The sequence below is a fragment of the Homo sapiens genome, chromosome 5, assembly GCF_000001405.40.
Source record: "Homo sapiens chromosome 5, GRCh38.p14 Primary Assembly".
Lineage (NCBI taxonomy): Eukaryota > Metazoa > Chordata > Mammalia > Primates > Hominidae > Homo > Homo sapiens.
In genome coordinates, this window is record NC_000005.10 from 174,303,872 (window position 1) to 174,325,952 (window position 22,081).

Genomic DNA, 22,081 nt, shown 5'->3' on the forward strand with positions numbered 1-22,081 from the left:
AGCTCTGGACAAGCTACCAAACCTTTGTGAGCCTCATTCCCTGTCTCTAAACTAGAGCACGATCAGGACGGCCCCTCAGAGATGGGGCTTCGGTAAGGATTAGCTGAGTGGATTTGCTGCCTATGGCTCCCATAACACATGACCACAGACTGGGCGGCTTAAAACAACAGAAATGTATTCTCACTCAGATCAAGAGGCCAGGCGTGAGAAACCGAGGTGGCAGCAGGGTTGCTTCCTTCTGGAGGTTCCAAGGGAGAAACTGTCCGGGCCTCTCTCCCAGCTTCTGGGGCTGCTGAAATCCTGGGGGTTCCTTGGCTTGCGGAGGTGTCACTCCAACCTCCGCCTCCATCTTTGGATCCTCTTCACCTCTGTGTCTCTGTGTCTCTGTGTCCTCTTTTCTTCTTCTTTTTTTTTTTTTTTTGAGACGGAGTTTTGCTCCTGTCACCCAGGCTGGAGTGCAGTGGTGCAATCTCAGCTCACTGCAACCTCCGTCTCCCAGGTTCAAGTGATTATGCTGCCTTGGCCTCCCAAGTAGCTGGGATTACAGGCACCTGCCACCACGCCCAGCTAATTTTTTGTATTTTTAGTAGAGATGGGGTTTCATCATGTTGGGCAGGCTGGTCTCGAACTCCTGACCTCAGGTGATCCACCCGCCTCGGCCTCTCAAAGTGCTGGGATTACAGGGGTGAGCCACTGCGCCCGGCCCTCTCTTCTTCTTATAAGGACACCAATCATTGCATTTAGGGCGTTGCCCTAAACCCAGGATTATTTCCTCTTAAAGTCCTTGACTAGTTACAGCTGCAAAAGCCCTATTTCAAATAAGGCCAATTTCTCAGGCAGACATGAACGAAGACACTATACTAAGACAAAACAAAGGGAGTGAATAGCACTGAGAAATTAACACTAGCTGTACTGGAGATCAGAGGTGCTCAATAAACATTGAGCACATTTACAGACCTGCCCTAGGGGTTGCCTTCTCCCACCTGCTAGGCACAGTGAGCAAGGCTGACCCCTCATCTGCCATGTTGAAGTCAGAGCCGCCTGACAAAGCCCAGGACCCTATGCCATGGAGGTTAGGTGGGACATGAAATGCAGGGGGGCTGGGGAGGAGAAGAAGGTATTCTTAGGGGCCCACAAAAATGTTTCAGTTTTCTTCAAACAAGAAGAGAATAGTGACTCTCATCCAGCCTGAATTATATTTGTCTTTATACCAATGCAGCTGTAAAATATAATTTTTAAAAGTTTTCTGAGGAAGGGACCTATGAAGGCAAGAATGCTTGGAGCCCATGAAAGTCCCAGGAGGGGTCCTAGCTCCTTGGGGTGGCCGAGTGAGGCTTTTGCACGTGTTGCTCCTGTTCATTCATTGGTGGTGTGGTTGGCATCACTGTCCCCATTTTTTGGGTGAAGGAACTAAAGGTCTATGAAAATTTGAGTTGCACCAACCCCAGGCCGGGAGGGCCTTTGGTGCACTCTAACCTGGCCCCCAGGAAATGGGCCCAGTAAGGCAGGGCACCCACAGGGCTGCGCTGAACTCGGAGTGGAGCTGGGTGTGCAGCCTGGCTCTCCTGGCTCCCTATCTTGTGACTGTTCTGCTCACACCTGGCTGATCTCGAGGGGATGTGTCTCCGCCACCCAGATCGGCATGCTGGCTGCTCTCTTGGTAAATCCACTACCTGATCTCCAGGTAGGCTGTGTCCTCGCCAAGCCTCCAATGACCACTATAGGGAAGGGACATTGTGTGCGGTCAGGGGTGCTCATGCTCACTTGCACCAGCCCTCAGGAAGGCTGGCTGAGGACCATGTCACTAGAGGAGCTGGTCTTGCTTCTGGGACTAGTGGGGCAGAGTCTGTCTCCACAGGTAAATGAATCTTACCTGGTCCTCAGCCTGAGGACACACAGATGAATGCAATGCAACCCCTCCCCTTCAGGAGGGCCCATCCAGGTAAGGGAGGCAGACTGGAGAAGTCACTGAGGGCTTCCTGGAGGGGGTGGTAGTCCAGGGGAGACCTGAGTGATGACCGAGAGGCAGGCAGGTAAAGAGAGTGTGGTAGGACAGGGCTTGGAAAGTACACAAGTGGAGGTCAGAGAGGAATGGAACATTCTAGATTAGAGAGCAGTTGCAGACTCTGAGGCAGAAAGTCTGGGCCAGGGAGCTGGTGGAGAGAGGTTGGAGATTCGGCCAGAGAGGAGGCAGGGGCCAGGTGACACGAGGCTTTGGGGGCCTTTATCGAGAGCATGAATTTCATTCTGTGTACAATGGGAGCTATTGGAAGATTTTAAACAGGGGAATGACATGCTCCAACTGATGTCTTTCTAGGGTTCCTCTGGCAGTGAAGATCAGATTGGAGGGGAGGTTGGAGGGGTGGAGGGGAGGTGATTGTCATTAGCTGGGTAACAAATATTGAAGACTCAGCCCACAGTACTGGTAAAGGAGATGCCAAAAAACCAAAGTATTTTTGGAGAAAGATTGAGTCATGGAAGGCTCCACAAGGGAGGTGGTGCTGAGTAGGGTTTTGAAAATTGAGTAGGAGTTTGCTCAGCAAGCGAAGGCTAAGGGGCCTCTCCTGATGATGAGGCCAGCATGTGTGAAATTCCACAAGGGTGACTCTGGCTGGATGGTGCTGGAATACAACCAGTAAATGGGGATGTGATGGGAGGGGAGAGAGCTGGGAAGGGGGCCATGGAGAGCCTCCAGTACAATGCCCAGAGCTCAGGCACTGTCTCACAGGCAGTGGGAGCTCTAGAAGCCACATACTTAGTTCACACATTTAATTGCAATGAAAGGACTGGGAAGCATTCTACAGGCGGAAGGCATGAATGAATGAGTCAAACACACTGTAAAATACGTCTTTAAAGAATCGAGAGCAGATGAGGATGCCGGAAGGAACATACTCATGATCACTCTCTCTGCTTGCTCCCTCTGATGTCTCAGTCCCCAGGGCAGGGGCCGCGGCAGCAACCAAGGATGGGAGAAAACCCCACAGGGAGAAACAGGGAGGGCGAGATCACACCCAATCCAAAGATGCCCCCACCGTCACGGGGGCAGGCGGGCTGATCTTCCAATGACAAATTTGTAAATTTTAACAGAGATGCATTTGTCTTAACAAACATAAGAAAAAAGTACTCATCCAACTCATTATTTTACATATGGTGTTGCTAAGATCGACCTAAATGTATATGAGAAATGAGTCAACCTAAAGTAAAACAGTAAGTAAAAGATTGCAGAAGACGACATTGGCTATAGTGTAATGGATAAAGTCTGGGAAGCACTGAGAACGCTACCTCCAGTGGTGAGGGGGGGTGTGGCGGCTGCAGAGCTATCCATCAGTCTGCCTGGTGGAGCAGAGGCAATCTGAGGAGGCTGGCAAGTGCTGCTTTGTAAGCGAACAGATAGGGATGCTGATGGATGCCACTGGGATTCAATGCAGCAGTGAACTCGCCTTCTCTCTGTAGCACCTTCCCGTACAGTATTCCCGCACCCGGCTGGGTATGCTGTGAGCTCACTACACTTCCCATGTCCCCCCCGAGATACGAACTCAGAGACAGCGGGCTGCCGGGCTCTTTTCTGCAGAGCCCGGTCTCTAAGTTGCCATCATGAATTGACACAGAGGCCCTTCTTACTGGAAGGACCAGCACAGGATACAGAGGTGTGGGCAGCTGTCCTCCCACCCACACAATAAAATAATTGTCATAGTGATAATGACGCACATGTCACAGCTAGTGAATTCCCAGCCTGGGCCTACTCCATGCACTTCACATGCACTCCATAATTTATTCTTCATCCAACCTAGTGAGGTGAGCAGTTTTACCCTTTTTCTACAGATGAGGAAACTGAGGCTCAAAGAGGTGGGTACATTGCCCAAGGACATAGGGCTGTGGCAGAGCCGGACTTCTAGCCCGAGTCTGGCTGGTTCCAAAGCCCAGAGTTTGCATGAACAAGCTGGAGGCGGTGCTGCTGCAGCCCCGAGGCTAGGTTGGGCTGCACATGTGTTTGGTTTGGCTCGCTCGGTGTTGAATTCTTTCTAATTGGTTGGCAACATCTAAAGGCTGGAGATTTCACATGAAAACCAATCATTCTGGCTTCTCTAAGCAGAGCTGGGCCCTCCGGCCACCTGGGCCTACCTCCTCACCTGGCCACATGCATGGGGCTGCCCTGGTAGCCAAAGCCTTTGCTCTGTGCTTTTCCACAGGCCCCACCAGTCCCTATTGTCCCTCTCACCCACTCACCTCACCCACAACCCATGGGACAGGCATCGGCCTTTACCATGGTGGGCACCGGGACGGTCCAGGTGTCCTGAGCGGGAAAGGTCGGCTTGGTCTCCATACAGCCTTGGGTCCCACTCAACAGAGCCTGAGCATGAAGTATGCCCTGTGTCCACAACCCTGGTGGGGAAACTGAGGCCCAGAGAGAGAGAGGAGGCATTATGTTCTTACTGTTGCTGTAACATATGAATGTACTGCCTAAAAACAATATCCATTTATTCTCTTGTAGTTCTGGAGATCAGGAGTACAAAACGGGTCTCAATGGCTAAAATTAAGGTATCACAGGGCTACGTTCCTTCTGGAAGCTCTAGGAGAGAATGCTTTCCATCGTCTTTTCTAGCTTCTAGAGGCTGCCTACATTCCTCCACTCGTAGCTTCTCCCTTCATCTCCAGAGCCCAGTGGCATAGAATCTTCATCTCTCTCTCCCACCTCCCTTTCAGGGGGACCTTTCTGAGACCACTGGGTCCCCCTGGTTAACCCGGATATTCTCCCAACTCGAGATCCTTGCCCAAGGTACAGTGTGAATAGTAGGAATAGTGGGAAGCGAAACTCAGGACATTTTCCTCAGTTCCCCTTCTGGATACCACACAGCCTCCTTGAAAAGAAAATGTTTAAATTCTGATGTTTCACAGGGAATGGACAGAAAGAGGCAGGTTCAAAGATTAGGGTAAAAGCCAAGTGAGGAGGCCCCCAAATTGCAGAGAGCCAGGGGGTGTGGGTCTTCCCTGGCACAGCACAAATGTGACCCATAATAGGGACATGAATGGAAACAGAGCAGCTCTGAGGTCCTTGGCCCTGCTCCTGTGTTCCCCAGCTTCCCCCATCACCCTGGCAGACACCTACCTGCATATCTCCCGTGCCTGCCTCTCCCAGACTCCAGCCTCCCGTGAGCCTTTCCTGAAATGCAAACCTGAACACTTCCTTTCAAACACTCCCTGCCCCCTAGGATCAAATCCAAGTTCAGTGCCCAGCATTCAAAGGCCCCATGGCTTGTCCCCCACCCCTCCCCACGCCGCTACTATCTCTGCCTTTTGATCTGGAGAAAGCCTTGGCTTGGAGGCCAGAAGCCTAATAGTCCTTTTGCCTTGATGGCATCAGGCGTATTTCCATTTCACATACAATTTCTCATCGACATGACACCCAAACCTTGTGAGTGGTTGGCCCGTTTCTCAAATGAGGATAAGTGCCCAGAGAAGCCTAGTAGCTTCCCCCACATCACACAGCTAGTAAGAGGCAAATCAGAGGTCTGAATTCAGCTCTTTTGTCTCCCCTGAGGTTGCTCACGGGGCTCTGAGCCCAGGGCCTGGCCTGTGCTGTGGGGTTGACAAATGTGCAGAGGGCGTAAGGACGGCAGGCTCTCCCGAGTGGCTCACAGTTCGGCCTCCAGCAGCCTCCTTTTGGGAAGCATCATAAATTAAAAACCCATCATGTCGCCAGGCTTGGACAGTGTCCCTGATGCTGGAGGAATAATTCATGGCACACGACTGGAGCTGGAGATGGCAAAGCCTGCTAGGATTCAGCTCCTGCCCTGCCCCAGGAACAGTTTTCAGCCTAGGCAGCTGTGCAGAGCTGGGTGGGTGCCCTCTCCCTGCCACCTGCTGTGAGGCCAAGGCCAGCGGAGTCCCTTCTCTTTGCGGACCCCTTTCTCTCCCTCCATGACTTCCTCTCACTCATAAATGGAGACAATCTGAACTCATTCCACAGGGCAGTGTATAAGAGGGTGCCCCAGCAGGCATGGGGTCTCTCTCTTTTTTTTTTTTTTTTTGCAGAGTCTCACTCTGTCGCCAGGCTGGAGTGCAGTGGCGCAATCTTGGCTCACTGCAATCTCCACCTCCCAGGTTCAAGGCATTCTCCTGCCTCAACCTCCCCAGTAGCTAGGACTACAGTGTGAGCCACCACGCCCAGCTAATTTTTGTATTTTTTTTAGTAGCGACGGAGTTTCACCATGTTGACCAGGATGGTCTCGATCTCTTGACCTCGTGATCTGCCCGCCTCAGCCTCCCAAACTGCTGGGATTACAGGTGTGAGCCACCATGCCCAGCAGGCATGGGGTCTCTTAAGGGCTCCAAACCCACCGTTCAGTACAGGCATTTCATGAGCAACTCAAATTCACTGCAATCTCTCCCAACCTCTCTTCTAGGTGTAGCTAGCAAGGCTACCACTGGCAGGGCCCGGCTGATTACTTACTTACCTGTAGCTTGTGTTATTATTTTCATAAATCCATTAGCAGCAGGAGGGGGGCATGACCAGGGAAGCCCGCACAGTGCTGGGACATTTAAGCCTCAGCCTGGCTCTCTGCTCCACTCGGTCAAATTCCAACTGTGTTGTTGGCTCACAGCACACCCACCGTAACAGCATCGTAAACGCTCCAAAGCCTCCTCTGTCCGTCACCTTTGTCTTCATGTGGTGCGTTTCATCAAGTTGACTATTTTTATCCGTTCTATTTCTGTTATTAACACATGCCGGGTATCTGCAATATACATATGTGTAATATCATATTTATAAACTCTTTAACCAAATACAATACTTTGATAGACTTCTTGATTAATTTGTATCCGAAAATTTCCTTCTTTTAAATTCCAGCTCTAATTCCGAGCTCAGATTCCTTCCTTATCTGTAACATGGGGTGGTGATGAGGATGATATAACATACTCCCTCAAGGATGTTTTGAATTTTCAGTCATTCGTTCAACACATTTCATTGAATAGCTACTATGTGTCAGGCAAACTGCTATGAGCAGGAATAGGGTGGTGAACAAAATTAGCATGGTTCCTGCCTGGATGGCGCTCAGAATTGAGGAAAGACAGGCAGTAGCAGTCATGAGAAACTATGCAAGAACATATTGTGTCACCCTCTCAGGAAACAGACGGGGGGCTGAGAGAGAGGGCAGGAGAATGCTTCAGAATCAGAGGGCAGGGGACAGCAAATGGGGGTGGGCAGGTTCCAGGAAGGGTGCAGAGCTCTGGGAGGCCCCGCCAGGAGGCTGAGCTTGTGCAGGTTTCTCCCCAGCTCTGGGCCTTAGCGTCCTCATCTGTGGAATGGGCGTGGCAGCGTTTCGACTTTGTGGGGCTTTTTGAGGGTGAAATGAGGAAATGCGCACGAAGGACATCTTCCAGCTGGGTGTAAGCTTCGGTGCAGAGCAGCGGCACACTCTTCCCTCTGTGTGTGAGGAGGCCCGGGGGCGGGGACAGGAGGCTGGGGTTCGCAGCACCCATGGGAACAGCCAGCCGGGGTTGAGATCCCAACTCTGCTGATTGCCATGTTGCCTCAGCGGAGGGTTCCTTGGGTGTACAGAGGACTCGAAGCACAGGCGCCCCAGACCAGGAGAAACACGGGAGGGCGGGCCCCCCTCAAAAGGGGGCCATGCCTGAGAGGGGCCCCCAGGGCACCCCTGGGAACCCACAGAGGTCTCGACCAGCAAGCACCAAGCTGGGCCTGGGGGGACAGGGGCGACTCAGACGTGGTCCTGGCCCAAGGAGGCTGCCGTGGGCTGGTGGAGAAAGATCCGTAAACTAAACGGACCTTCCCAGCCCCCAGCCCGGTGTAGCCAGCATGGGACAGACATGGGCCCTACAGCTCTCCTGACCCAGGAGGCCCGGCAGCCCCCGTATTTCTGCAGGCGTCTTGGCTCCATCTAGACGGCACTGGGATGCTGGAATCTGCATTTGCGCTGCACTGGACGCTGGGAAGACTTTCACCGCAGAGCGGGGGCTGCTGGAGGGGCGGGTGGGCTGCGGCCCGGCGGCGGCGGATGCCTGTCTCTGCCGAAGCCGAAGGAAGGCTGCGTGGGCAGATCTTCCAGCTAGGCCCAGAGGGACGGCCGACATTCAACCCGCCAGTCAAAGGAGGGAAGGGCTGGCGGCAGGAGCAGCTCAGGAGGCAGACCCGGGCGCGCGGGGGCGCGGGGGCTCGGGGGCCTGTGAGGGATCCCCGGACGGGCAGCTGCGGGGTGCGGGCCGGGCTGCACCGCGACAAAGGCGGCCCAGCGGCGGCATCGGAGGACGCACGCTGCCCCCTGGTGGCCAGGCCGCTCCCCGCAAACGCGAGCTCCTTTGTTTTGCGGTCCCGGCTTCTGCGGCCCAGGCTTGCTGGAGAGAGTCTGAAGCCCCGGCTTCCAGAGCGGGTGGCCACGATGCCAGGGCCGCGCAGGGAACCTGGTGAGCCGAGGGTCGAGTCCCAGCCCTGCAGCTCGCTGGCGGCAAGGGCCGGCTCCCCAGCCTGCTCAGAGCCTGAGTCTCCCGCTGCTGCAGTGGGAGGAAGCGCGCACCGGCACCGGTTCACTCGGTGTGGGGGCGCTGATTGTGGTGGGGGCGCTGATTGTGGTGTTATTTGTGCACACACGTGGCTCGGGCGCCGGTCGAGGCCTCCTAGCGACTTGCCCCACCCGGTTTCCCCGCACACCCACTCCTCACCTCCTGCACCAGCTGGCGGGGTCTTTGTCTCCCCCTGACCCTGATGGTAGCCGCTTTGTCAGCACCATTAGGAAATCCATGGTAGATTTCCTTTTGTGAGATTGAGTAGAATTTTAGAGATTTGGGGGTAGGAGGCAGGCACCTCCTGGCCCTCCCTCTCCACCCTTCTTTCTCTTTTCCATTCTCTCCGCAGCCCTGCTCACAAGAGCCCTCCGGAGCCCCACCACCTTGCCCTGCAGCCATCAGTGTAGAGAACATGCCCTCCGGCCTCGCCCTTCACCCCTACTGTTCCCAAGCACAGTCCACCCTGGTCCCTGAAGGAAGCTGAGTGGAATGTCTCATGGAAGCGTGTGGGGGTGGATCTGTGCTTAGGAGCACCTTTCTCCAGACGGGTCTGACCCAGTCCACCCTGCAGCCATCGCTTCCTTCTTTAATTTTATCGCATTATGTCCCACCAGGTATAGGAGGAAGAGAGAGAGAGAGAGGAGGCATGGAAGGAAGAAGGAAGAAAGGAGGGAAAGGAGGGGAAGGAAGGAAGGAAGGAAAAGAAGAAAGAGAAAGAAGGAAGGAAGGAGACATTTGCTAGGGCTGTCAGGACAAAGTATTACAGACAGAATGCTTAAACAACAGGACTTTATTTCCTCACAGTTCTGGAGTCTAAAAGTCTGCCACGAAGGTGTCAGCAGGGTTGGTTTCTGCAGAGGCCTCTCTCCTTGGCTTGCAGACGGCTACCTTCTCACCGTGTCCTCACGCCGTCTTTCCTTTTGTACCTGTCTGTGTCCTAATATCCTCTTATAAGGACAACAGTTATTTTGGATTAGGGCCCACCGTGATGGCCTTAACTTAATCACCTCTTTAAACTTCCTATCTCCAAATACAGTCACATTCTGAGGTACTAGGGGTTGGGGATTCAACACAGGAATTTTGAGGGGACACGACTCAGCCCATAACGGAAAGAAAGAAACAAACAGAAACAGATAACCCGTATTGGCTCTTGCCAATGTGTGGGTGCCGTAGTGACGGGACAGTGGCTCAAGGACCCAAAACCGTGCACAAATGCAACTGACAACATGGAAAGATCAGGAGATCTTCCATGAAACCTTGGCTTTTCCTTTCCTCTTGACAATAGAACCCTGGGTTAGCATTAAGACTGAGTGGAGCCTATTTTCAGGGCGTGTTCACTGTGTGGTCCCCCACACTGACCGCCGGCCCCCTCTCACACCACTGTCACCTGCCCAGGACCTTCAGGGAGCTGAGCTGGAGACCCAGCTGTGGGAGGAAAGCGTGTGTCTCAGTCCTGGCTGGCTGGGCTGGAAAGGCAGTGTTCAGAGGACTTGGGGATGTGGACAGCACAGTGAGGGAAAGCTGGGACTTAGGCAGACCTGGGTTTGAATCGAAGCTCTGCCATCTGCAAGTTGTGTGTGACTCTGGGTATGTGGTTACCCCTCTGGGAGCCTCAGTTTTACCTCTGTGAAATGGGCACAGTGATGCCTACTGCCCAGAGCTGCGTTAGAATTGAGTCAAATGAAGTAGTTGATGCCAAGGAGCCTGGCACATGGAAGGCCCTCAGTCAGTGCCAGTCCCCAAGTCCACCGCAGCCTCAGTAGATTTCTTCAGGCGTGGAGCTCACTTGAGCACTGTTTCTTTCTCATCCTTTCCCCTCCTCAGTGCTCAGCAGGGGAACCACATCTTCAGACGGCCTTTAAAAGTCAACACATTCAGTGGGTGGCAGTGGGTGAGTTCTGGGCTCAGACTCAGGAATTTGAGATGCATCCAGCTCCAGCTTTGCAAAATATCTCCATAACCTTAGGCAAGCGGTTTCCTCTCCTGTCCTCACTTCCCCTGTCAGGGGAGCAAGGGCAGCAGGGGCGCCATGGCTGGGGCCACAGTGGGGAACGGGAGCCGAGACTTGCTGAATGTTCCCAGAGGCTGAGTGCTCTGTGTGCACCCGGCCTGTGGCAGGTTGTCGCCAAAAAGGCCCCATCCCTGCTTCAACATCACGGCAAGCTAGGCATGAAGAGTGGGCTCGTGCCCCTTATCTGTAGAGGGAAGCTGAGGCTCCAACAGGCCCGAGTCACACCAATTGGAGAAAGAAGGAATTTGACCCAGGACTGTCTCAGTAGAGTCTTTAACTCTCCCTCCACAAGGCCACCTACCGAGAGGAAGGGCAGGGCCACCAGGAGCTCCATTTATGGGAGGTCTGTTGGGCTCTTCCGGGTTGATTTTCATTGACCCAGCTGCCAGAGTTTCTGGAATGAGTTTAGGAGTAAGCATTCTGTGTCTCCCTAAGGAGAGGCGAGTCTGTTTTTGGAGGAATTTGGGTCTGGAGAGGACACTGGTACATATGGGTAATCGAACAAAATCCTTTGATTCTGAACCAGTCCTTCAGAGTACATCCATGGGTTAATGCAGAGTTTTTCATTCATTCACTCATTCAGTCCTGCATTTACTGATTCATTTATTTCTTCAAGATGTATTTATTGAGTGCCTACTAGTAGTGCCAGGCAGAGGGCTAGTGAATAGTGCCAGGCGGGAGCTTGGAAAGAACAAAACTGAGCCCCTGCCTTTTAGGAGCTTCACAGGTGAGGGGGCACGGTGACGGCATTAAACCCATCATGTGGCATTGGGTGCTAAAAGGAACCAGACAGCAAGGTGAAGAGATGGGGAGTCCCAAGGAAGTGCAGGGGAGAGCAGCCTCCACATAACAGGGAAGGAAGGGGCAGCTCTGTCCCGGTGGCCATAGCAGAGACCGGGATGAATGGAGGAGACACCTGTGGCTGTGTGGGAAGGGTGTGCCGGGTACAGGAAACAGAAGGTGCAGAGTCTCCGAGGCGTGGATAAGAAGCAGGTGGTGAGGTCTTTGTAGGGCCAGGTGAGGGCTTTGGATTTTATTCCATGTGAATGAGATGGAAGCCACTGGAGAGCTCAGAGCAGGAAACAGACAGGATCTAACTTCGACTTTAAAAGGACCACTCTGTCAACCTCGTGGAGAGTGCAGCCAGGAGGTCCCTGGAGCCACTGGCTTGGCCCAGCCATGGTGATAACATGGCTGGCACAGAAAGGGCATGTAGGGGAGTAGTGGTCAGGCTGGAGGTGGGGCGGCTGCCTTTGAAGACCAAGTGGCTTGGGACAGGAGAGAGGGCATTGAGGTGGAAGTGTGGCTTCGGCCTGAGCACCAGGAAGGGTGGAGGTGCCAGCTTCAGAGGTTGGGTCTGGTCTGGCCTCTGCGTTGCCAGCCCATGTGCCTGGCACTCATGTCTGCCTTATTCAGTCCTCACACAGCTCTACAGGTGGAGATCACTAGCATCTGTTTACTTTATAAGACACTGCAAAGGAGAAGCGACACTGGGCTTCGGGCGGGAGCTGGGAGCAGAGCCTCGCAGATGAGCACTAACTATGTGGGCATCCGCTGTCCTGTCCGCGCTCCCTGGGATCCAGGCCTGCTGCGTGCAGAACCTCCGTCAGTCCTCAATACTGGTGTAGGGGCTGGCGCTGTGCCCAGCTCAAAAGTGGGAAAGCCAAGCTCAGGAACTGGATATGCGCTGCCTGGCTGTGGCCTCCTGTATCGATAGCCTCCTTCCAGGGGGACAGCAATGGATACCAAGAGCTTTGCTAGGGAATGAACACCGCCTAAGCACGGGTAAAGCTCAGGGCGCCCCTGCTGCAGCTGGACATGGGACAGCCTCTCCCCGGACAAGTCCTTGCCATGCTGAACCGCTGCCTGTCAACAAGCAGCCATCTCTGTTGCTCCCCAACATGAGCCCATGAGTGACCCAATATCTCCTTTGTGAGTGTGTGCCTGTGTGTGAGTGTATGCCTGTGTGTGTATGTGTGTGTGGTGGTGGGACATTAGAAAGGTGCCCTGCCTACCCTCCCAAATGCCAGATCGTGCCGGGTAAAAGTGTTTGTAGCCACAGGAGAAAACTGAGGCTGCATCAGCCCTCCCTTCACAGGCTGTGAGCCCATCTGGGCAAAGCCTGGGCGTTCACGAAACACCATTGCCCAGGGCCTGGCCTACATTTGGAGTGTGACAAGCATGAGTTGAATGAAGACATCAATGGATTGTTTATTTGTTTTGAAGGATTTCGTATTCGCTGTATTACTGGATCTCACAATAACTCTGAGGTAGTCAGTGCAAGTCACATTTTACAGGGGCTCAGAGAGGGGATGCTGAGCTTGAGCAGCCTGCCACGGTGTGCAGGCAGGGCTGGGGAGGGCAGCTCAGACCCCGTTGCAGGCTCCAGACCCTCTTCTCTCTTCATTGTCGCTTCTGTGCCAAATGAGGAAGGGGAGTCTCATGGCATTATTGAGGCCGGGATTCAAGGCCCTGCTTGTCCCCCACTCACTGTGTAGCCTTGGGACAGCGCCTTCCCTTCTGTGTCCCTCAGTGTTAACTCTAAAATGGAAAATTATAGTTCATACCTCAGAGGATGAGCACAAATATTAACGAGACACTAAACACACTGTGTTAAATAATAACAGGAGCTGCCGTTCCTGGGGGATCACCAGGTGCCAGGCACCTTTCTAAGCTCAATCAAGTGCATAAGTGCATCGAGTCAGTTAATCATCTCAAATCCATGTGAAGTTGATACTGCTGTGTGTCCCGTTTTACAGATGAGGAAACTGAGGCTAGTGGGGTATTAACTTCTCACACTGCTTGTAAGTATCAGAGCCAGTTGGCCTGAATGGTAACGTGCTGAGTGTCTTATTGTTATCTTATCCCCGCTCTTCAAATCCATGCTTTTTGGGTGTAAGGATGCTAAGGTTTGATTCCTCCCTCTCCCCCATCTCCACCCCCCAGGGAGGGGTCCCAGGGCCCTGAGGGCTGAGACACTGCCTGCTCACTGCTGAGACTGGAAGCTCTTCCCAACTGTTCCTGGCTGGGCAGACGCCTTGCCTGGGGCAACACTGCTCTCCAGTGGCAAGGATGCAGCATAGCGTGACTCAGGCTGCAAAGACCACAGTATCCTTGGGAAAGGATGTTATTCCCCGCCAGGGGCCAGAGACCCCTGGAAAATTAGAGCTGAAAGGTCTCCTGTGTGCTCTAAAATTATCTGTGCCCATGCATTTCCCGGTACAAAGAGTAAGCAGGTGATAAAGGTTTAACAACGGGCTCTTGAGGGGAGCATTTGCCAACTTCCTCGGTGCAAATGCTACCAACGTGGCCAGTTTCAAAGAACCAACGCGAGGTCACTGAACACAGAGTTCACAAGAGATGCTCACAGTCAGCTTACAGCTCCAGCCCCAGCACCACCCACATTGAGAGTCCACCCACATTAGAAAACTTGGCGGTGCTCCCTAAATAGCTAGCAAATGAAAGACTGAATCAGTAAGCTCATGAGGGAAAGAGGAAGGAAAGAAGGAAGGAAGGAAAGAAGGGAGGGAGGGAGGAAGGAAAGAAGGGAGGGAGGGAGGAAGGAAGGGAGGGAGGGAGGAAGGAAGGGAGGGAGGGAAGAACTCATTGTTCTTGGGCCTCAGATCTCACCAGGCTTGAGGTTAAGCTTCCTAAATATTTTTTGCTCTCATACATACATTGACATCTATTCATTTTGTTTGTTTTGCTTTTTTGACAAAAAGCAAGGTGGTGCCTCATGAATTTCTCTGTAACTTGCTGTTTCTGCTTAAGGATCATGGCCATCTCTTTAGGTCAGCCCAGGCAGAAGCTGCATGCTCTGTAACAGGTGCATGACTATGCACTTGAGGGAATAATTCGATTTGCTCAACCACATCCCACTCAAGACCATTTGGACGACTTCTACCTTTTCTGTTTCCCCATTCAGTGCTGAACTATGCATCTTCATACTCATATTTTTAAATCTAAAGAAGAGATTTTGAAGAGTGAGGTTATTGGACCAAAAGGTGTTTGTGGATGTATAATAAATATTTCCAGAATTCCTTGCAAGATGGTTGTAGCAATTAGCACTGCCACACCAGTGTATGAGAATGACATTTTCCCCACGTCAGAGATGACCCACTCTTGTTGAGTCTAATGAGTGAAAACAATATTGCATTTTTAAAATGTTGCATTTCCCTGTGACAAGTAAGATGAATTTGTCTTTGCATATACTTTGCCCATTTTAGATGATATTTTTTGCCTTTTACTTATCAATTTATAGGAGCTCTTCATATACTGAAAAATATTAACTCTGTTGGTCTTATATGCAATGTTTCCCCTCAAATCTTTTGACTGTATTTATGGTTTCTTTGCTATACAAAAATTTAACTATATTGCAAAGTCAGCCATTTCTCCTATTTCTTAAGGCAGCTAGGTTTCCTGTCTTGCCTAAGAAGATTCTCTCCATCCAATGTTTTCCTAAAATGCTTTGTTATTTTTCACTTTGCTTTTTACATTTTGATTCTTAATTCACTTTGAATCTTTTAAAAAATGTTGTGATTAATATAGCCCAGTTTAGGTTTTCTTCCAGATATACAATACCATTTATTTCTCACTAAAATAAAATGGCACTATGACTATTACACTTCCATGTGAACTTGCATATGTTTCTCAATATTCTATCCTGTATCATTGTTCTCTTGTGGTTCATTGCCCTGTTTCATCTTTGTCATCTGTTGTGTTGGTTTTTTTTTTTTTTGTTATTTGTTTGTTTCTGCGGTAATGCCACATGGTTTTTATTATGGTAGCTTTACAGTAAGTTTAGGTATTTTCCCTCCTCACGAATATATTGCATTGTTTTGACATTTGTTCTTCCATAGGAACTCAAAAATGTATTCCTTTTCAAAACTGTTGGGATCCTAACTAAAATTGGATTGAATGTATGTGTTAATTTGGCAAGAATGAACATTTTTGTGGTTTTCCATCTTCCTATTCAGTAGTCTAAAATTTCTCTTGGCTTATCTCAATAACACAGGTAGCTTTATTCATACAGGTGGTGTATTAGTTGTATTAACTCTGTGGTTAGATACTTTATAATTTATCTTTGAAGTAAATAATTTCATTTCTGTGTTTCCTTTTTTATTTTGCTTCTAAATGGTTAGTGCTGATGCAGAGAAAAGCCATTGATTTCATCAGGACCTTCAAAGAAAGGCATAACTGAGGAGATTTGTTTCCCAAATCTTAGCTCAAGTCAATGTGAGGAGAACTGGGCTTCAACTGCGTCCAGTTGGTGATGACAGTAGAGATCACTGGCTGGCTCCCATGGCCCCTTGGGCAGCGGGCAGCCTCCTCCCAGCCGGGCCCTCTTCAGGTCCTCGCACGGCCCACTCAGGAGACAGCATGATCAAGGGTCAGCTTGGCTGAGTGGGTGAGGCATCCAACTGACCGCTCGCTGTGCGCTGGGTTCCTACGGCCAAGTACCCTGACTCACTCCACCTGTTCTTCCATCTATAAACCAGGGATCATAAACCTTGACTCCATGAGCTTCACACAGCATAGGAGCCCAATAAAGTTCCCTTTCTCTTTCACCTCCCTTAATCAAACTATATCTGATCATTCACTAGCACCCATATCTACCCTTCTGCAGTTCGCCATCCCTGTAAATTGACAAGTCCTTGGGGTATATTCAGAGGCCCCTGTGTTGAAGGGGAGGATGCCTTCCCTCTGTACCTGCTGCTGGCATCGGAATGGAATTGGAGTTCTCAGAATCACTGTCTCCTACTCATCAGCCGCAGGGTTGCCCTCTGAAACTGAGTGAGTGCAGAACTGGTTTCCAGGACAGTGGACGTCCTGACTTCCTAGCAACAACAGGTCTCTCCTGACGAATGCCTCTTGTTTGCAGGCCCCTGATGGACAGCTGTGAGAGGACACCACCTGCATCCGGCTGCCGATCTTGTCAATCCACATTCCCTGAAATGACTTTGGCTTCTCTCCTTGCCCTTGTGGGGCCCAGATAAAGCTTACAGTGGCTTCAGGAGAGTGCATTGTCTCCCTGCCTGTTGGAAGAGGCTGGAACGACTCGGGGGTCTCAACCATGTTGGCTGCTACTACTGTGATTCCTTCCTTCCTCCCTCCCTCCCTCCTTCTCTCCCTCCCTCCCTCCCTCCTTCTCTCCCTCCCTTCCTTCCTTCCTCCCTCCCTCCCTCCTTCTCTCCCTCCCTCCCTCCTTCTCTCCCTCCCTTCCTTCCTTCCTCCCTCCCTCCCTCCTTCTCTCCCTCCCTCCCTCCCTCCTTCTCTCCCTCCCTTCCTTCCTTCCTCCCTCCCTCCCCCTTCCTTCCTTCCTTCATTCCTTCCTTCTTCCCTCCCTCCCTCCTTCTCTCCCTCCCTCCCTCCCTCCTTCTCTCCCTCCCTCCCTCCCTCCTTCTCTCCCTCCCTTCCTTCCTTCCTCCCTCCCTCCCCCTTCCTTCCTTCCATCATTCCTTCCTTCTTCCCTCCCTCCCTCCTTCCCTCCCTCCTTTCCTTCCTTCCTTGCTTCCTTCCTTCCTCCCCCCTTCCTTCTTCCTCCCTCCCTCCCTCCCTCCCTTCTTTCCTTCCTTTCTTCCTTCTTTCCTTCCTTCTTTCCCTCATGAGCTTACTGATTCAGTCTTTCATTTGCTAGCTATTTAGGGAGCACCGCCAAGTATTCTAAGCCCTAGATGAGACACAAAGGGATTGTATTAGTCAGGTTTCTTCAGAAAAACAGAACCAATAGGAGAAATGTATAGATAGATAGATAGATAGATAGATAGATAGATAGATAGATAGATGAGGGTTTTTTTTAAAATAGGAATTACTCACGAGGCTATGGAGGTCAAGAAATCCCACTAATCCGCAAGTGGAGAATCAAGAAAGCTTGTGGGGTCATTCAGACTGAGTCTGAAAGCCTGAGAATCCGGGGGCTGATGGGGATCAGCCCTGGTCTGAATCTGCAAGCCTGGGAGCCGGGAGCACCGATGTCTGAGGGCAGGAGAAGACAGATGCCCCCACTCAAACAAGGAGAGCAAATGTACCCTTCGACTTTTTTCTCTTTGGTCTCTCAACAGTGCGGATGGTACCTAACCATATTATTCAGCCTATTGATTCAAATGCTCATCTGCCCCAGAGACACCCTCTCAGACATGCCCAGAAATAATGCATCCCAGCTATCTGGGCATCCCTGGGCTCAGTCAAGTTGACACGTAAAATTCATCATCACGGGGGTGGAACCTTGAACGGTTCATCACAATAGATATTTGTCAGCCTAAGGAATGAACATCAACGTTCATACCCCCCAGGGAAGCACAGCAGAGCTGGTGGGCCAGGAATTGGACCTCCCAAGTCACTGGTTGGGGAGAAACTAAGGGTGAGCTGAGCCCCTGGAGAAGGAGGTGAGGGCAATAGTGAGAATGAAGGTGCTGATGGAGGCAGAGTGGCAGGTGTGGAAGTCAGAGCTGAGGGTTCAGTTTATCACTGGCTGTGTGACCTTGGGCAGGTAACTTTGCTTCCTTGTGTCTCTGTTTTGTTATCTGTACAGTCAGGCAAAGCTGTGTGAAAAGGGCCTGGCTCAGAACTGCACTGGTGGTGGAGACGAACCACTGACATGCTTTCCCACAGCGCAGGTGTGAATAATCATGGCTTTCCTCTCACTCTTCCCAGCTGAGTTTCTGAGGGCAACCCTGCAGCTGCCAGGGTTCCTTCTACTTCCTCCCCAGACAGGCATGTTTTCTTTCTCTGGGGTTGGTAGGACTCTATCTGTGTTTTATGTGCAGATAACCCTATTGTTCCTGGCACCATGGATCCTCTTTCTGGTTTTGCCTTGCTGATGTGGATATTTCTTAATTTTTATATCCATTATTATTTTGCTTAGATTTTGGAAGGGTGTGGAAAGTCTAAGTACCGTTCCCCACTGAGAGGTGCCAGGGCTTCTTGGAGTAAAGTTGGATTGTCCAACTCCAGGTCCTGAGCAGGAAATGTACAAGATGAGTCTGGAATCTCTTGTCATGCTGGAATTAAAACATGATCAAAGACTTCTAGGAGAGAGGGGCCAATTTGAAGGGCCCCTGCACTGTCTTAGGATGGGATAACTTTAGCATCAGAAAGAATACTGGCTGCAATGGATTGAAATGCAGCAAATGTATAAAAGCTATGAGTTCATAATGGCACTACTAATTCTTTTTGGAGGTGGCTAGGGTACAAGTTCATTATTCTGAAAATTGATAAATAAAGGGAAAGAATACAATATTTATTTTGCCTTCCCTCTAAAGACCATAGCTCAGGATAAGAAAAGAGTTGATGAGAAAAAGTTCTTTTTAGAAGGTCAAGGCTAACAAGTGCAGGAGGAATGATAAAATGGATAATAGCAAATGAAACACTGTATCTCGGCAATGATCATGAATGTCTGCTTAGACTCGCAAGGGACAGACTGATGTGGCCACCTACACTTGACAGACCAGGCAGATGCGACCTTATACTGGACAATTTTAACATCACCAAAGGGGGACACCCAGGCACGGTACACCCCTGACATAGTAGGAAGTAAGCAGGCACCACCTGGCAGATTTTCTCGCAAAAAACAAAAAACAAAAAACATGAATGTAATCAAGCTTCTAGAACTAAGTTTCCAGGATATATGTGGGAGAGATGAACGTGTAAGCAACATCAGTCAATCAGTCAGAGCCATAATTTGGGAAATTCTACAAGAAAAATGTTACCCAGTTTCTTAGAGAAATTAATGGCAGTCAGGTGTCAGGTGGAGAAAATCACTAGGGATTAAAAGAGAATTAAGCAACATCCAAAAAAAAAAAAAAAATGCAGTATTGAGGCCAGGTGCAGTGGCTCACACCTGTAATCCCAGCACTTTGGGAGGCTGAGGTGAGTGGATCACCTGAGGTCAGGAGTGCGAGACCAGCCTGGCCAACAAGGCGAAACCCTGTCTTTACTAAAAATCCAAAAAAATTAGCTGGGCGTGGTGGTGCATGCCTGTAATCCAGCTACTCCTGAGGCTGAGGCAGGAGAATCACTTGAACCTGGGAGGCAGAGGTTGCAGTGAACTGAGCTTGTGCCACTGCACTCCAGCCTGGGCGACAAGAGTGAGACTCCATCAAAAAAACAAAAAACAAAAAACAAAACAAAACAACAAAAAAACCAGCGTTGGATCCTTTACTTGGATTCTAACAAACCGATTGTTAAATGACATTATGGGGGCAAAAAACGAACATAGACTCGGTATTGGATGCTACTAATATTACATAAATATGGTTTATTTCATTGGATGTGATTATAGCTTTACATTTTTTAAAGTCCTTGTGTAATAGAAATTCATACTCAAAATAACAGCCCAGGATTTCTGCCTGGACATTAACTGATATCCCGGTTCTCCTTCGGTGATCGTCATGCTGGTAGCAACATCAACGTCCACATTGTTGGGAAGGTGATGAATTTGAGCATCTTTCTCTACTCCTTCCTCCTTCACACCCTTCCTTCCATACTCCTCTCATTCCACTGCCTATTGATGTCCAGACTATATCTCCTTCTTTTCGTCTCTAATCCACCATTCACACACATCCTGTGGTGGAAGGGGAAGAGAGTGCCAGGAAGGCACACCTGAGTCAGAGGAGCTGGCAGGAGTCACTTCAGCCTGCATTTGTTTCAAGGGTGAGGACCCGTCAGGTGGCCGGCCCTGGAAGCAAGGCAGGCTGGGAAATGTAGTCCTCAGCTGGGCAACTGTCTCCATGGAAACAAGGCCACTTGTGGAGGCTGGTGTATGAGGTCATATGTGCAGAGAGCTTAGAAGTGTGGTTGGCTCCTAAGTGATGCGTGCACTGAGGGTGCAGAAGCAGCAGAGGGGAACCTGCTGGAGCTTTGGCAGGGGTGGAGGGAAGTGGCGGCACGCTGCCGTGGCCATCGTTGGATTCTTCAGTGTCACCATGTACTTGTTGCTTTAAAAAATACAGATGCTAGTTTCACTTAAGAATGTCCCTGACAAAGCTGTATGAATTAATTTTATTCAGTCTCAACTCTTGCATACACAACTTTTTGTGACAAAATGGAAGCTGTGCATGAAGCACTTTTGCTTCATAGCTGTCTTGAGGAAAAACACGAGCAATTTCTTCGGCTGAACTCACCACTTTTTTATGGACAACCATTTCACCTGAAAGTACAAGTGGCAAATGATTCAGACTTGAGTATTTAGTAGACATTTTCTTGAAAGCAGATGAAGTAAGCTTGTCGCTTCAAGGGGGAAAAAAATGACATTTGTTACCAAAGATAAAAATTTGATCTCTCAAGTCAAAATTAGAATTTCAGAAAATCTATATCCACTACTATGAGTTTGGCCATTTCCTAATAACTAAACACTCTTCTGATAAGACCTATGGTAACGTTAGTGGTCAGGATCTTTTGATATTTAAGATAAATGTGCTAACATTTGGAAGCTCAGCATGACTCAGTAAACCAATGTTTTCCAAATGACTGGTGCATGATGGTACAAAATCATGCATGAGGAAAGATCCATCCAAGAGAGAACAAAGGAGTTTATGTAACAGAGTAGAAAATAATTCCATGATACGATTTCGGATTCCAGGTTGCAGCAAATCTGAAATCTAAAACCATTTGTCAATTTTGGGTCTCATATCAAAGAAGAATAGGCAATATTATCTGAAAAAGACAATTAAAATACTCCATTTCCAACCACATATTTTTAAGAGACCAGATTTTCTTCATATACTAAAACCAATACATCTCAGCAGATTGAAAGAGGAGCCCATATGAGAATCTAGCTGTCCTCTATTAAGACAGACATTAAAGACATTTGCATAAACAAAACACAATGGCATTTTTCTACTTTTTATTGTTTTACCAAAAAAAGTTATTTTTTAATAAAAATATGTAATGGGTTTAAAGATGAGTTAAAATAAGTATTTTATACATTTATCAAGTTCAATTTATAACCCAGTAAATATGGATAGACCTAACCCACATCAACAATAATGATAATTCAAACTCTAAATTGATACATATAATCAATAATAAACATAAATGTGTAAAAATAAGAAATAATAGGAAGAAGAATTTGTTAGGAATGAGACCAAAAAGTTTAAGAGCTATGAATAAAACCACACTTGGCATTTTCCAGCTTGCCGCCTGCTTTCTAATTGGGACAGCGGTTGCATTGTCTCATCAGCAACTCACATTCCAGAAACTGATGGGAACTAATCGCACAGGGACCAGGCGCAGGTCACACAGCAAGAACTCATTCCACAGGCACAGGCAGTGCCCCGAGCTCTGCCCATGGAGTTAGGTGTTATGCACGGGTGAAGAGCAATGTCGCCATCCACACAGACAGGAGAGGGGCAGGTGGAAAGGAAGTGCCAGTCACTAAGAATTGCTGACACTTATCAGGTGCCTACCAGGAAGCAGCCCCTTTGTCCTCATAAGGTGTTTTTCAGGTACTTAGTTAAGGACTTACTCAATACCAGCCTTGTGCTGTGTTGGCACTAACCAGGGAGAGATGAGTTGGAGGGGGTGCGGCCTGTCTGCCGCTGTCTCCAGAGA

The 22,081-nt window shown here is 49.8% G+C and overlaps 3 annotated features.

Annotated features, from left to right (window-relative positions):
* Nucleotides 3,504–4,004: an enhancer, noted in NCBI's record as "H3K4me1 hESC enhancer chr5:173734378-173734878 (GRCh37/hg19 assembly coordinates)". NCBI's record gives its function as "activates a minimal SCP1, AML or CMV promoter by ChIP-STARR-seq in naive H9 embryonic stem cells {active_cell/tissue: H9 hESC(naive)}" and the evidence as "EXISTENCE:reporter gene assay evidence [ECO:0000049][PMID:30033119]".
* Nucleotides 8,162–8,241: a silencer, noted in NCBI's record as "silent region_16642". NCBI's record gives its function as "represses an Ori minimal core promoter by ATAC-STARR-seq in GM12878 lymphoblastoid cells {active_cell/tissue: GM12878}" and the evidence as "EXISTENCE:reporter gene assay evidence [ECO:0000049][PMID:35858748]".
* Nucleotides 20,124–20,173: an enhancer, noted in NCBI's record as "active region_23675". NCBI's record gives its function as "activates an Ori minimal core promoter by ATAC-STARR-seq in GM12878 lymphoblastoid cells {active_cell/tissue: GM12878}" and the evidence as "EXISTENCE:reporter gene assay evidence [ECO:0000049][PMID:35858748]".